Raw genomic sequence first — 16120 nt, 5'->3', positions numbered from 1 at the left:
AATAACACCAATAGAGTAGAAGGATAGAATTATTTAAAATAAGACCAGAAATTAGTGAAACAGAAAGCAAAGCTTCAGTAGAGAAAACTAATATGCCAGAAGTTGGTTCTTTGAAAAGAACCAACTAATGAAATGACAAGCCTCTAGCAATATTGCCCAAGGAAAAAGAAAGAAGTCACAACCAACATTAGGAATGAAAATGGGCATCACTGCAGATGGTGCAGATAAAAGACATTAAACAGATAAAAGAATATCATACCGTCTGGTCCGTGCGCGATCACAGCCCGTCGCGTGGCTCGGGCTTGGGCAGAGCTGGAGACGCGTGGAGCTGTTCGAGGACTCGCAGTGCACATATGATATGTGTTTTAGAAATAGCTGTTAAACTTTTGTTTGAATGAAGAATGTCTCTCAATCCACCTATATTTCTCAAATGAAGTGAAGAAAATAATTCAAACTTTGTGGAAACAAAACAGTCACAAACTACTTCCATAGCTTCAGATGATATGTGTTTTAGAAATAGCTGTTAAACTTTTGTTTGAATGAAGAATGTCTCTCAATCCACCTATATTTCTCAAATGAAGTGAAGAAAATAATTCAAACTTTGTGGAAACAAAACAGTCACAAACTACTTCCATAGCTTCAGAAGATCCCCTTCAAAACTTATGTTTAGCATCTCAAGAAGTTCTTCAAAAAGCTCAGCAAAGTGGGAGATCAAAATGTCTCAAATGTGGTGGTTCCAGAATGTTCTACTGCTCTACATGTTACATTCCAGTTGAAAATGTACCTATTGAACAGATTCCACTTGTGAAACTTCCATTGAAGATTGACATCATTAAACATCCAAATGAAACAGATGGTAAAAGTACTGCTATACATGCAAAACTCTTAGCACCTGAATTTGCAAACATTTACACGTTTTCTTGTATTCCAGAATATGAAGAAAAGGACCATGAAGTTGCACTTGTTTTTCCTGGACCTCAGTCTATCTCAATAAAAGATATTTCTTTTCATCTGCAAAAAAGGATTCAAAATAATGTTAGCAGCAAAAATGATGACCCTGACAAGTCATCTTTTAAACGCAAAAGAACTGAAGAACAAGCGTTCTGTGATTTGAATGACAGCAAGTGCAAAGGCACAACACTGAAAAAAATTATATTTATAGATAGCACCTGGAACCAAACAAACAAAATATTCACTGATGAGCGACTTCAAGGTAAAAAATATATATATATTTTTTTGGACTGCTCCTCCCTCCAACTTATTTTGAAAAAACTTCAAACTTACAGATAATTTGAAAGAAGAGTTGCATTGAATACCTATATATTTTGCCACATTTACTTTATTTCTCTATTTCTCTTTATTATATATGTGAGCTTGTATTTATATATTATATATATTTTTTGTTGACCAATTGAAAGTAAGTTTCAGGCTTTGTAACACTTCACCCTTAAATATTAAGTGTACATTTTCTTTTCTTTTTTTTTTTTTTTTTTTTTTTTTGAGACAGTCCCACTCTGTTGCCCAGGCTGGAGTGCAATGGTGCAATCTTGACTCACTGCAACCTCCTCCTCCTGGGTTCAAGTGATCCACCCACCTCAGCCTCCCAAGTAGCTGGGATTACAGGTGCCCACCACCACACCTGCCTAAATTTTGTATTTTTAGCAGAGACAGGGATTTGCCACGTTGGCCAGGCTGCTCTCAAATTCCTGACCTCAGGTGATCCTCCTGCCTTGGCCTCCCAAAGTGCTGGGATTACAGGCATGAGCTATCATGTCCGGCCTAAGTGTACATTTTCTAAGAATAAGAATATTCTCTTATATTAATAAAGAATGACATCTCTTTTATAAACACCCCAATGGTGAACACATTTACTAAGAAGTTAGATCTTCTCTTTTGTTTTTTGCCTTACATGTGGTTTTTTTTTCTTTTTTTTTTTTTTTTTTTTTTTTGAGAGGGAGTCTTGCTCTGTTGCCTAGGCTCACAGTGGCGTAATCTCGGCTCACTGCAACCTCTGCCTCCTGGGCTCAGGCGATTCTCCTGCCTCAGCCTTGCTAGCAGCTGGGATTACAGGCACACACCATTATGCCCAGCTAATTTTTTTGTATTTTCATAGAGACAGGTTTCACCATGTTGGCCAAGCTGGTTTCAAACTCCTGACCTCAGGTGATCCCCCCACCCCGGCCTCCCAAAGTGCTGGGATTACAGGCATGAGCCACCGCACCCAGCCTGCCTTACAGTTTTTAAAAATAACTTTATTGAGGAAGAATTAACATATAATAAACTACGTATGTTTCAAGAGTATTAAAGTTGTCTCATATGTGTACAGCCGTGAGACCATCACTACAAGTTAGAAAATGAACATATCCAACCCCTGCCAAAGTTTCTGCCTGACTTTTATCATCTTTCTCATCCAGCTTTCCCCACAGCACACTTCCACGCTCTCCAACCCCATCTCTAATCAATGATCTATATCTACTTATTATAGATTAGGTACATTTTCTGGAATATTATATAAATTGAATCATATAGTATGTACTCTTTTCCTTTTTTTGGTTTGGCTTTCTCACACAAAATAAATAACTTGACACTCATTTTTGTTGTAGCATGTATCCATAGGTCATACATTTATTGCCAAGTAGTATTTCGTTGTATGGATATGCTACAATTAGTGTTATCTGTTTATCTGTTGATGGACATTTACACTACTTGTTTCCCATTTTCTACTATTTCAAATAAAGTTGCTATGACACTTGTGTAAAAAAAAAAAAAAGATGTTCTCCTGTATAATAAATACAGTACCATTATCACTCCTAAGAAAATTAATGAAAATTACATATCATCTAATATACTGTCCATATTCAAATTTCCCTAATTGACCCAAAAATACCTCTTGTAGCTTCCCCCCATATAGCATTTAAACTCATCACAATTTGGTTATTCTGTATCTTTAGTCTCTTTTAATCTAGAGTAGTCCTGTTTTTGTTTTTCATGACTTAGACTTTTGTGAAGAGGACAGGTCAATTGTCTGAATGTTTCATTGTGATTAGTTCCAGTCTAAATATGTTGGCTAGGATACTTACAGGTAAGGATAAATCCAGAGTTGTCTATGTCTAGTTTATATCTATTGTTTGGGTATAATTATTAATAACATGTAATTTCACTCTCAGAAATGAACCTTTTAGCTGATAAATTGTATGGTTAACCAATTCATAGGTGAATTCATACTTTATTGTTGTATCAAATTAGGATGCACACAATGCAAATTGTTCTATTATTTGTGATAACTTTCATTGCTTGATTAAAGCGGTGATTGCCAAAAAAAAAAGAATATCACAACTAACTTTATGCCAGTAAATTTCAAATTTTAGATATGATGAATAAAATCCTGGAAAATGTAAGTTGCCAAAATCATAATGAAGAAGTGAAATTCTGAATTATAATCATTAAGGAAATTAAATCAGTAGTCAAAAATTTGACTACTGAGTCTACTCCCACTCAGGATGAGGCACTGGAGATATTTAGCACCTGCCTGAATTCGGGCTGCCAGGTGGCGAGCGTCTGTCTGTATGTGCAACACCACTGCTCTCTCTTATGTAGGAATGTACCAGGTCATCCAGGGTATCATCTCTCCTGTCAGTGACAACACAAATTAAACTCTAGCCTCACAAAACTTCACTGGTGAGTTCTACAAAACACTCAGAAAAAAATGTTATTTCAGGCTGGGCACGGTGGCTCATGGCTGTAATCCCAGCACTTTGGGAGGCCGAGATGGGTGGATCACTTGAGGTCAGGGGTTGGAGACCAGCCTAGCCAACATGGCAAAACCCTGTCTCTACTAAAAATTTAAAAATTGGTCGGGCATGGTGGTGCATGCCTGTAGTCTCAGCTACTCGGGAGGCTGAGATTGCACCACTGCACTCCAGCCTGGGTGACAGAGCAAGACTCTGTCTCAAAAAGAAAGTTATTTCAGTCCTAACACACAAGATCTCTTACAGCATAGAAAGAGAGAACTCTCCAACGCTTTTTATGAGGCTAGCACAACCTTGATACCAAAATCTGATTAGGACAGTGAGAGAAAGGAAAATTATAGACCTGTCTTACTACCTAAAAAACAAATTAGCAAAGTGAACCCACCAGTACACAAGAAAGGTAATATATCTTGGCCAAATAGGGCTTATCTCAGGAATGCAGTGTTAGTTTAGGATTAGAAAATTAATCAATGCAATTTACCATATTAACTAAGTAAAGGAGAAAAAAAATCACACAATCAAGAGTTGCAGAAAAATCATTTAATAAAATTCAATGTTCATTTATGGCAGGCACTCTTAAACTAGGAATAACAGGGAATGTCTCAAAATAACATATTTGTCAAGATAGACTAGGCTAGCTGCAATAATAAATCCTCCAGTTTTAGAAGCTTAACACACAAAAATTTCTCTCTCCCCAGATGAATCCCATGTGGTTTAGACGATCTACAGGGCAGTTATCATGGTTAGTGAGCACAGTCCATGGCTATTTCAAAGTACGCTTTCCCACTCCATCAGCAGCACATTCCTCCCAGGTCAGTGGTGGCCTGTGCGACTAGTCCATCTACAGCCAATACCCACCAACCCTGGTTCACGCTAAAATCCCATCCCTTTGTCCTTCATCCTCAAAATCCCCATTTGGGCTAAGAAACTATATATAATTTTCATCCTCACATAGAGGGCAAAAATAGTGCCCCTGTTAATTCCTATAGAAGGGGAAGTCATGCTGTTCCTCAACTATATCCTGATCCTAACTGTCCTCACTGCTGTATGGGACCCTTGCCTGAGCGCCACCCTCACAGCCTTTGTCTCAGCAGAGAAGCCTTTCTCTCAGTGCTACCCGGGTTGTAGAAGGCTCTAGAGGAGAAGCACATGTTCACTAAGGTAGTGCCTTTACCCTTGCCTAAGGGAGCTACCCTTTCTCCCCCATGAGAGAATGCCAGAGTCTACTACCACTCAGGATGAGGCACTGGAGACATTTAGCACCTGCCTGAATTCAGGCTGCCAGGTGGTGAGCATCTGTCTGTATGTGCAACACCACTGCTCTCTCTTACCTAGGAATGTACCAGGTCATCCAGGGTATCATCTCTCCTGTCAACGACACCTATGGGAAGAAAGACCTCGCAGCTTCTCATCACCGAGTGGCCATGGCCCGGCTGGCCCTGCAGACATCCGACTGGATCCGGGTGGACCCTTGGGAGAGTGAGCAGGCACAGTGGATGGAGACAGTGAAGGTGCTGAGGTAATGGTAGTCACTCTCCTGTGTGATGACCAGGGGCCACGGGAGATGTCTGCAGAGCTTACAGGGTAAAAGGTAGGGCAGATTGTGGGGCTGGGTTTCTGCCAGACCTTCTCAGCAAATATCCAAGAAGCAGTTTCTACTTAGCAGGAGAGAGATCAACAGATTCACATTCTCAGAGAGGTCCCTGAGCAGAAAAATTACAAAACACTGTACTTTCAAATGCACTTTGTGGAAACACCCAACCTTATTTCAGATGACGGTAGCACTGGGGTCTAGTGCCACCACTTAGTAGCTGTGTGACTTTGAGCAAGTGATCTGAAGCCTCTGAGACATATTTCTCACTTGCAAAATGGAGACAACAAAACCGAATGAGGATTTTTTATATGTAAATAACTTTCCTGACCCAGAACTACATAATAATATTCAGTAGGTGGGACCTTTTGTTATTTTTATCATTGTCTAAGTTGAAAACTACATCTATAGAATAAGCTGTCTTTTTTAATTGTACAATTCCTGGGTTCTGTAAACCCAGACTTTTATGTGAAATAGAAAAAAAAGACTATAAATCTAGAAACAGTTACTCTGGATTATTTTTTCTTCTGGAATTTCTATTTGTATTCAGCATAAGTAATAAAACTGTTTAAAACCCCAAGCCAGCCCTGCATGTTAGGGCAGTGGGTCACTAGCTTGTGTCTGCAGACTTTAAGGGGGAATTGCCAGAGAAGCAGGAAGTCCCACCTCTCCTGGCTGTTGGGATTGTGAGTATGGCCTGCCTCATCACTAATGACAACCAGCTCTGCTGGAAGGGATTGCAAATTGCTGTGTCTTTTGTCTATTTAGAACCACTAGGATTGGCAGGAAATGGGAGGCAAAGGGACAAGGTGGAATGACTGACAGGCCTGTTCATAATGTGTTTTAGTTTTCATTTTTAACTTATCTTCAAAATCACTTGGGAGAAAAAGATTTACCTTTTTAGTAGAGGTAATCATTTAGTTTTTATATCCTGGTTCTTATTACTTACCTTTTACTGTGGAAAGAAGCAGCCAGAAGCATTCAGCAGTTACAGTGTTGCTTCAGAACCTGTTGCCAAATTAAAAGGAAAGCCATTATAAAATAATTGTTATGACACATGCTCTTCTTTATTTTTTAATGACCCATTAGTATAAACAAAGACCCTTATATTGAAAATTATATAAGGAATAAATTGACACCTAGATCATCCTTTTAGAATGAGTCATGCAGTCATTTCTCATTTATCTAGGCTAAGAGAGGGGGAATAGAAGCAAGAGAATAGATCATCCAACAAGTAATTTAGCTTTAATATGTAGGCAGAAACAGACGCTTGCTCCTCCACCCAGTGAGAAGCACTGTAGCCTAGGACACAGGTTTTAGAGCAAAATTTACTAGCTGAATTACTTGATATAAGTGATTTAGCCTCCCTGAGTCTCAATTTCTCACCTAATAAAATGGAAATGACATCACCCACTTCACTAGGATTCCGTGTGAATTAAATGAGATGATGTAGGCAAAACACCTGGTTTATGGTAGGTACTTAATAATGTTAGCTACCTTCCCTGAATCCCTAATGCTGGCCCATAATTTGTCCTCAAAACAGATAAGCCATTCATGGATAAATAGGAGTTGACCATAGTACTATTTACGATTACTTGTGCTTCTGCTGCAAAATACAGGAGTGAGCTAAGATTGTACTGAACGCATTCATTTTCTTTTTAATTTTTTTTTTTTGAGATAGGGTCTCAAAAAAAGCTCCATGGTGATTCCAATACATGGCTAGCCCACCACTTCAGCTGCCAAGTTTATTAATTAAGCTCTGTTGCCCAGGCTGGAGTGCAGTGGCATGATCTCGGCTCACTGCAACCTCCACCTCCTGGGTTCAAGCAATTCTCCTGCCTCAGCCTCCCAAGTAGCTGGGATTACAGGCACACACCACCATGCCCAGCTAATTTTTTGTATTTTTAGTAGAGACGGGGGTTCACCATGTTGGCCAGGCTGGTCTCCAACTCCGACCTCAGGCGATCCACCTACCTCAGCCTCCCAAAGTGCTGGGATTACAGGCATGAGTCACCACACCAGGCCTCTTTTTAATTTTTTTTAAATAACTCCTTTATTCTTGTGTTGCTCAGTGTTAGTTTGCACACGGGAATCACCCAGGGAGCTTTTAAAAGTACCCATGTCATTGGTCTGGGTTGGGGCATCAGGATTTTTAAAAGCTACCTGGTGATTCTAATATATGGCTAGCTCACAGCTTCAGCTGCCAAGTATATGAATTAAGCTTATGATCAGTACCAAGATGCATCCAAACCAGTGGTCTCAACTCTGGCTGCAGAAATCACTTAATAAGCTTTTTTAAATGCTCACCTCCTCCCACCCACCCCAGAGATTTTGATTTGTCAGGGGTGGGCTCTAAACATTGCTATTTTCATAAAGGTTCCCATATGTATTTTGTGCAACCAAAATTGAGAATCACTGTTACAGTCAACACAGTTTTATCAAATGCTGATTAAGATTTTTAAAATTATTATTTGGAGTAAGTTTCATCTCCAAAATGTACCAACTGCATTTGTGTTTGATTACTAACACTTTCCGAAAATTATCAAAATCAAAGTTTTTTAAGACTGAAAATCCAGTTATAATTGTAAAGTCAGGTGGTTTTAGAAGCATGGTAGAAATCCACCCCATCTTTTGCTCCATTTAGTGTCCTCTTGATAAAGTCCGTAGTGAATCTGCATCATAGTGACATAGTAACAAACATCTCTATGATGTAAATTCACTGTAGAGCTTACTGAGGATTCCTTCTTTCCCTATAAGATAGTTTGTTCTTTGCAGACATGATCTTGTGTTGTCCTCATTTTACAGATAAAGAAACTGAGGCTCAGAGAGGCTACGTTAATCACGGTCACACACAAATAGGACGTGGAGCTCCCATCTGTGGAGCTCTGAAGCCATGCTTATGGCCATCTTCAAAACAGGGATCTGCAGGCTGGGAACATGATGTGGCTGGCTTTACACCTCCCACAGTTGCCCTCCAATCTTTCCTGAAGACCAGTGGGACTGCTGAGGACACCAAGAACATGCCCCCAGGGTCAATCCACAGGCCCAAGGTACCACTCAGGCAGGCAGCAAGAAGCAGTTAATGGTCATGCCCCATAGAGGCGCAGTGGAAGTCCCTGGCAAATGCATGTTGTATTGGAAGTAATTATTTCCACAACAAAGTTCAGAGATCCAGCTAATATTCAAAGTAGGGTCAACCTGAACTAGGACCTTCAAGGTAAGTAAAATGAGAATCACCACCACCTTTTACTAATCACCCTCTATGTGTGCCAAGCTCTTTCATGTATATCTAGTAAGCTCAGCAACTCCAAGAGGTAGGTGGGTTTAGCCCTATTTTATATATAAGGACATGGAGATTCAGAAAGGGTTGTAAAATACTTCAAGTCCTACAGTTAGAAAGTGGAGGTGAGACTCAATCTACTTCAGTCTGATGTGAGAGCCCATGCCAATCCAAGGGTGAATCCTCAGAAATAAAGTTTACCAAAATCAAAGCAGTAAAACGATAATGAAAACACTGAGTCCAGCCAGGCTCTAAGAAGACTCTGCTGAGTCTCTGAGATGATCTAGAAGGGCTTTGAACCAGGTTAAATGTATTCATTCATCCACTCCTTCCAACATTCCTGAATTCAGCAGACTTAAGGAGCATTTTCATGGGTGCTAGGAATATAAAGATGAATTCCGTGGGGTCCCTTTTCACAATCTGGTGGGAAGATAGACTAAGAGTAATGATAATAACAGCTAACACTTATTGGGCTCTTTCTGTATATGGGCTGGTGCTAAGCGTTTCAATTAATCCTCACACCAGCTCTCTGGGGCAGGTTCTGCCGTTATCCCTCATTCTCTAGATGAGGAAACTAGAGACACCAAGACTCCAGAGCTACCAGTTAGAGCCAGAATTCCAACCCAGTCTAATTCTAGAACTTAACACTGAGCTGCCTCCCAATTATAATCAGCAGCAGGCCACTTCCCCAGCATTTGGCAAGGTGGAAGCAATTTTTCATTCATGATCTTTTGATACTCAGTGTAGATAAGCCCAGCATTAACTTTCATGACCAATTTACAGATGAGGTCCACGTGGCTCTGAGAGTATCAATGCTACAGGGTGTCAGGGTCATTCAGCAAAAAAGCCTGAACTTAAACCCACCCACTCTGGCTGAAAAGCATATGCTTTTCCCACCAGGCACTACTGCCCCCTAAATACAGTTCTAGTAAATGCATAATACAGGAAGTGGAAGTTGGAAGATCAAATTGATACAAGAAGGGGTGTATAATGGTTGCCTGTGTTTGACAAAAGCATATATAAGTATCTCATGATTTGCAGAAGATAGATTGCTAAAGAAGGCAGGCATGCCAAATTTGTGAAAGTCTAATCATATTTGAAATGCCCAGTGCACTTTGTGTGTATTAACCCCTTTAATCTTCATAACCACCCATCAGAGGTGGGCACTGTCATAATTCCTCACTGGCAGATGCAGCACCATCCACATAGAGACTTGAAATCACCCACCCAGGGTCACACAGCCAGCTGGTGGAGGAGCTGAGATTCAACCCAGGCCATCTGGCTGCAAGCCCTGGCTCTTGGCCATCACCCTATTGCCTTCTAAAGTACTAGTTTCTAATGAGAGCAGGCAGCTTTTCTGGGAGCTAGCTGTGGGCCATGCACTGTGCCAGTGCTTCATGTGCATGGCTCATTCACCTTCACAAGAGCCTAAAAGTAGGTGTTGTTATCCCTGCTTCTCAAATGAAAATGTGTCTTGAATTCAAGTCTGTCTGATTCTAATAGCCCATGTCCTTAACCCCTACTCAGCAGTGCCTCCTTTTTTTTTTGAGAAATATTGAAGAAAATGTTAAAAGAATAGAAATGTACTAATTTCCCTGCCTTCACCCATGTCACATGGAAAGTAGTGGACTGTCTTGGACAGGACTCTCCATGAAGACCCACATGGCTTTCTGTCCCAGCTCCTGGCAATGCCTGCCACAGAGTAGGCCCTCAACAGATATTTGTGGAATGAGTGAACTAAAGTAGATAAAAGCAGGCTGAGACAAAATCTGAAAATCCCTGGGTGGCTTTGAGGGCTGGAGGACAGACATACCCTGAGCCCATATGTTTACAACACAGGCATCATCACAGCAAACTGCTCAGATCTCCACCCCAGATGGAAGGCCCAGACCATGGCAAGGCACTCTTCTCGACCCCTGCAGGTGGGTGCTGATCCTCTTGTCTGTAGGAGAATGAGATGTCAGGGATTCTGTGAGAACTGAAGGGGGTAGGGGTGGTCACAGCTGCAGAGGACTTGAGTCCAACCCTCTGGGCACAGATAAGGAATTTAAGGCCTGCCTGGTTGGGATGACACTTCTGAGGTTGAAGTTCAGATTAGACAATCTGCCACCACCCCCTGTAAATTGCTCTGCTAATTTGGGATTTTTTGCCCCAAAGAAGTTTACCTACCCTTGTGACTTGTTCTAATGACATGGATTATAGTCAGGGTCACACAGGGATAAACTGATGAGTGCTGCTGGGTTTCTTTTAAAAGCCTTAGCCTTTTTGAATGTAAAATATGCCATTATAAAACTTGAACAAAGAGACTAAGACTTTATTTATAGCAGAATTACTCAATGGTTCACTCAAAAGAGGAAACCTATTTTTAAGGGAATTTAAAGTTGGTTTGGATTATCCTCTTAATTTGTAAGCCTAGATGTGTAAGCCAGGAAGTGTTGTAATTTCCTGGTGTTCGAGAAAACCTTGTTGGCTGTGATTTCACAGTATGAGCTGCCCTGGTGTCAAGGGCAAAATGCATAATGCTCTCATGCAAATAAGCAGAAGCACCATGCAGCGGTGGGCGTGCAGATTCCAGCAGGTCATCTGCAGAATTTCCTACGGCAGGGTCTCCCGACTTTGGTTGGTGGAACACTGCTTCCAGAATAGAAGAGTTTAGGAATGCTGGGGTTTAGCACACCTAATGTGGTTTCTCTACTGAAGGACTTTTTAGAGCCTTTACTATGTCCATGTGCATTGTGATTCTACAAGAAAGAGAAATACCTTGCAGTCATTCTTACCATTTTTTTAAGTATGGAACTCTTTGTTTAATATCTGTTAGTATTTTTCAGAACTAGTGCTTCCTAGAGCAAGATTGGGAAACACTCTTCTAAAAAGACTTGGAAATGCTACCAGGCCCTAAAGGTGCCATGCAACAGTCCCCAAATACTGGCCAGAGGATCCCTCACAGCAGTATCCCCTGTGCGGCTTGTTAAAAGCACTAATTCCCAGGTGTCTTCCCTTCTGAGTGGGAGTAGAGCCCAGGAATCTGGATATTTAATAAGCACTCTGAGGATTTGCTTTACAGCCAGTCTGGGGGGCTGTGCATGAGAGTAAGAATCTAAGAAGGAGTTACAATACCTCCTATATAATCATCTTATATAATGTTTATTGTATTCCTCTGGTCTTTCTGTCTGCCTGTCCTCTCCGTTACCTGCATGGGCTCCTTCCCACCCATCCCCGATAAGCACAGTGCCCAGTATTCATTATCAGCCTCTCCCTTCTTTCTGCATCATCTCTGGCTCAGCAGGTATTCTTAAAAGGATTCTACAGACACTTTTTGAGCACCTCACTGGAACAGACTCTGGGCTCAGGCTGAGAACAGAGACAGCCAGCCCCAGCCCCCACCTCAAGCTGGAGACAGGGTATGAATGGAGGTGAGTCCAGGCATGAATTAGGAAGGCTGCATGGAGGAGGGGGCACCTGCACTGAGACTTGCAGGATGACTGGATTATTGAGGTTGGAGACATTTCTGGGCCAAGGGGCAGACTAAGGAAAGCACAAGGGCAGGAGATAGCATAAGTGTGAGGCACTCCATGCCACTAGGGCAGACTGGAGCCTCCAGTGAGAGGCAGGGGCAGCCAGAGTGACTCAGGAGGGACAACACACTGAGGCCACCATCCTCGCACACTTCACCTCTCTGCATATGCTTCCAGAATCCCTGTCTCAGCTTTTTGCCTGGCCTCCCCTCCTTCCTCTTAATTCTTGGTTCCCCTATTGAAAACCTATCTGTCTGTGAGGCCCAGTTCAGAATTCACCTTCCCTGTGGAACCAGCCCCAGCTGCTCTCATTAATATGAACTCTCTCCCTCTGCCAAAGCCCACTCCAGGTTCTTTCCAGAATCATTTTTCTAGGGGCTACCAACTTAATCTGCTTGGCCCTATATTGTTGAGGGCCTCTTTCTCTCTGTTCAGACCCTAAATCCCACTCACTTGTTCTATTCTAAAGTAACTATTTAAAAAAAAAGGAAGTTTACATGAAATGAAAACTATGTTTTGAAGATGGCCGAATAGGAACAGCTCCAGTCTACAGCTCCCAGCAAGAGCGATACAGAAGACGGGTGATTTCTGCATTTCCAACTGAGGTACCAGGTTCATCTCACTGGGGAGTGTCAGAGAGTAGGTGCAGGACAGTGGAAGCAGCGTACCGTGCACGAGCCGAAGCAGGGCGAGGCATTGCCTCACCCGGGAAGCACAAGGGGTCAGGGAATTCCCTTTCCTAGTCAAAGAAAGCAGTGACAGACGGCACCTGGAAAATCGGGTCACTCCCACCCTAATACTGCGCTTTTCCAATGGGCTTAAAAAACGGCACACCAGGAGATTATATCCCACACATGGCTCGGAGGGTCCTACACCCACAGAGTCTTGCTCATTGCTAGCACAGCAGTCCGAGATCAAACTGCAAGGTGGCAGCGAGGCTGGGGGAGGGGTGCCCGCCATTGCCGAGTTAGTTGTTTCATTAGGTAAACAAAGCGTCCAGGAAGCTCCAACTGGGTGGAGCCCACCACAGCTCAAGGAGGCCTGCCTGCCTCTGAAGGCTCCACCTCTGGGGGCAGGACACAGACAAACAAAAAGACAGCAGTAACCTCTGCAGACTTAAAATGTCCCTCTCTGACGCTTTGAAGAGAGTAGTGGTTCTCCCAGCACGCAGCTTGAGATCTGAGAACGGGCAGACTGCCTCCTCAAGTAGGTCCCTGACCCCCGAGTAGCCTAACTGGGAGGCATCCCCCAGTGGGGCGGACTGACACCTCACACGGCCGAGTACTCCTCTGAGACAAAACTTCCAGAGGAACGATCAGGCAGCAGCATCTGCGGTTCACCAATATCTGCTGTTCTGCAGCCACCACTGCTGATACCCAGGCAAACGGGGTCTGGAGGGGACCTCTAGCAAACTCCAGCAGACATGCAGCTGAGGGTCCTGTCTGTTAGAAGGAAAACTAACAAACAGAAAGGACATCCACACCAAAAACCCATCTATACGTCACCATCATCAAAGACCAAAGGTAGATAAAACCACAAAGATGGGAAAAAAACAGAGCAGAAAAACTGGAAACTCTAAAAATCAGAGTGCCTCTCCTCCTCCAAAGGAACGCAGCTCCTCACCAGCAATGGAACAAAGTTGGACAGAGAATGACTTTGACGAGTTGAGAGAAGAAGGCTTCAGACGATCAAACTACTCCGAGCTACAGGAGGAAATCTGAACCAATGGCAAAGAAGTTAAAATCTTTGAAAAAAATTTAGACGAATGGATAACTAGAATAACCAATGCACAGAAGTCCTTAAAGGACCTGATGGAGCTGAAAACCAAGGCACGAGAGCTACCTGACGAATGTAGAAGCCTCAGGAGCCGATGCGATCAACTGGAAGAAAGGGTATCAGTGATGGAAGATGAAATGAATGAAATGAAATGATAAGAGAAGTTTAGAGGAAAAAGAGTAAAAAGAAACGAACAAAGCCTCCAAGAAATATGGGACTATATGAAAAGACCAAATCTACGTCTGATTGGTGTGCCTGAAAGTGACGGGGAGAATGGAACCAACTTGGAAAACACTCTGCAGGATATTATCCAGGAGAACTTCCCCAGTCTAGCAAGGCAGGCCAACATTCAAATTCAGGAAATACAGAGAATACCACAAAGATACTTCTCGAGAAGAGCAACTCCAAGACACATAATTGTCAGATTCACCAAAGTTAAAATGAAGGAAAAAATGTTAAGGGCAGCCAGAGAGAAAGGTCGGGTTACCCTCAAAGGGAAGCCCATCAGACTAACAGCGGACCTCTCGGCAGAAACTCTACAAGCCAGAAGAGAGTGGAGACCAATATTCAACATTCTTAAAGAAAAGAATTTTCAACCCAGAATTTCATATCCAGCCAAACTAAGCTTCATAAGTGAAGGAGAAATAAAACCCTTTACAGACAAGCAAATGCTGAGAGATTTTGTCACCACCAGGCCTGCCCTAAAAGAGCTCCTGAAGGAAGCACTAAACATGGAAAGGAACAACTGGTACCAGCCACTGCAAAATCATGCCAAATTGTAAAGATCATCAAGGCTAGGAAGAAACTGCATCAACTAACGAGCAAAATAACCAGCTAACATCATAATGACAGGATCAAATTCACACATAACAATATTAACTTTAAATGTAAATTGGCTAAATGCTCCAATTAAAAGACACAGACTGGTAAATTGGATAAAGAGTCAAGACCCATCAGTGTGCTGTATTCAGGAAACCCATCTCACGGGCAGAGACACACATAGGCTCAAAATAAAGGGATGGAGGAAGATCTACCAAGCAAATGGAAAACAAAAAAAGGCAGGGGTTGCAATCCTAGTCTCTGATAAAACAGACTTTAAACCAACAAAGATCAAAAGAGACAAAGAAGGCCATTACATCATGGTAAAGGGATCAATTCAACAGGAAGAGCTAACTATCCTAAATATATATGCACCCAATACAGGAGCACCCACATTCATAAAGCAAGTCCTTAGTGACCTACAAAGAGACTTAGACTCCCACACAATAATAATGGGAGACTTTAACACTCCACTGTCAACATTAGACAGATCAACAAGACAGAAAGTTAACAAGGATACCCAGGAATTGAACTGAGCTCTGCACCAAGCAGACTTAATAGACATCTACAGAACTCTCCACCTGAAATCAACAGAATATACATTCTTTTCAGCACCACACCACACCTACTCCAAAATTGACCACATAGTTGGAAGTAAAGCACTCCTCAGCAAATGTAAAAGAACAGAAATTATAACAAACTGTCCCTCAGACCACAGTGCAATCAAACTAGAACTCAGGATTAAGAAACTCACTCAAAACCGCTCAGCTACATGGAAACGGAACAACCTGCTCCTGAATGACTACTGGGTAAATAATGAAATGAAGGCAAAAATAAAGATGTTCTTTGAAACCAATGAGAACAAAGACACAACATACCAGAATCTCTGGGACACATTCAAAGCAGTGTGTAGAGGGAAATTTATAGCACTAAAGGCCACAAGACAAAGCAGGAAAGATCCAAAATTGACACCCTAACATCACAATTAAAAGAACTAGAAAAGCAAGAGCAAACACATTCAAAAGCTAGCAGAAGGCAAGAAATAACTAAAATCAGAGCAGAACTGAAGGAAATAGAGACACAAAAACACCCTTCAAAAAAGTAATGAATCCAGGAGCTGGTTTTTTGAAAGGATCAACAAAATTGATAGACCACTAGCAAGACTAATAAAGAAGAAAAGAGAGAAGAATCAAATAGACGCAATAAAAAATGATAAAGGGGATATCACCACCAATCCCACAGAAATACAAACTACCATCAGAGAATACTATAAACACCTCTATGCAAATAAACTAGAAAATCCAGAAGAAATGGATAAATTCCTGGACACATACACCCTCCCAAGACTAAACCAGGAAGAAGTTGAATCTCTGAATAGACCAATAATAGG

At 41.9% G+C, this 16120-nt stretch overlaps 1 protein-coding gene, 1 long non-coding RNA gene and 1 pseudogene across 24 annotated transcripts in view; 2 read left to right on the top strand and 1 right to left on the bottom strand.

The window, feature by feature from the left end:
• NMNAT3 (nicotinamide nucleotide adenylyltransferase 3) overlaps positions 1-16120 on the top strand; it is a 117871-nt gene that overhangs the window by 93911 nt on the left and 7840 nt on the right. For 8 of the 23 annotated variants that reach the window (NM_001401604.1, NM_001401603.1, NM_001401602.1 and 5 more), the window contains 2 exons: positions 5085-5268; positions 10460-10542. The exons of 1 other annotated variant lie outside the window; for it this stretch is intronic. In NM_001401604.1, coding sequence (NP_001388533.1) covers positions 5087-5268; positions 10460-10542 — 265 coding nt within the window. In that variant the 5' untranslated portion in view covers positions 5085-5086. 23 annotated transcript variants of the gene reach the window in all.
• On the top strand, positions 499-1213 carry DTWD1P1 (DTWD1 pseudogene 1; annotated as a pseudogene).
• The window catches only part of COPB2-DT (COPB2 divergent transcript), a 193517-nt gene continuing 178217 nt past the window's right edge, over positions 821-16120 (bottom strand). The window contains exons 4-5 of the long non-coding RNA NR_121609.1: positions 6290-6348; positions 821-1011 (exon numbers count right to left, since the gene is read on the bottom strand). This is a non-coding gene — a long non-coding RNA (COPB2 divergent transcript). The remainder of the gene's footprint in view (positions 1012-6289; positions 6349-16120) is intronic.

The sequence above is a fragment of the Homo sapiens genome, chromosome 3, assembly GCF_000001405.40.
Source record: "Homo sapiens chromosome 3, GRCh38.p14 Primary Assembly".
In the NCBI taxonomy this organism is placed as follows: Eukaryota; Metazoa; Chordata; class Mammalia; order Primates; family Hominidae; genus Homo; species Homo sapiens.
Note: the sequence above shows the minus strand (reverse complement) of the source record. Positions and strands in the feature narration are given on the sequence as shown.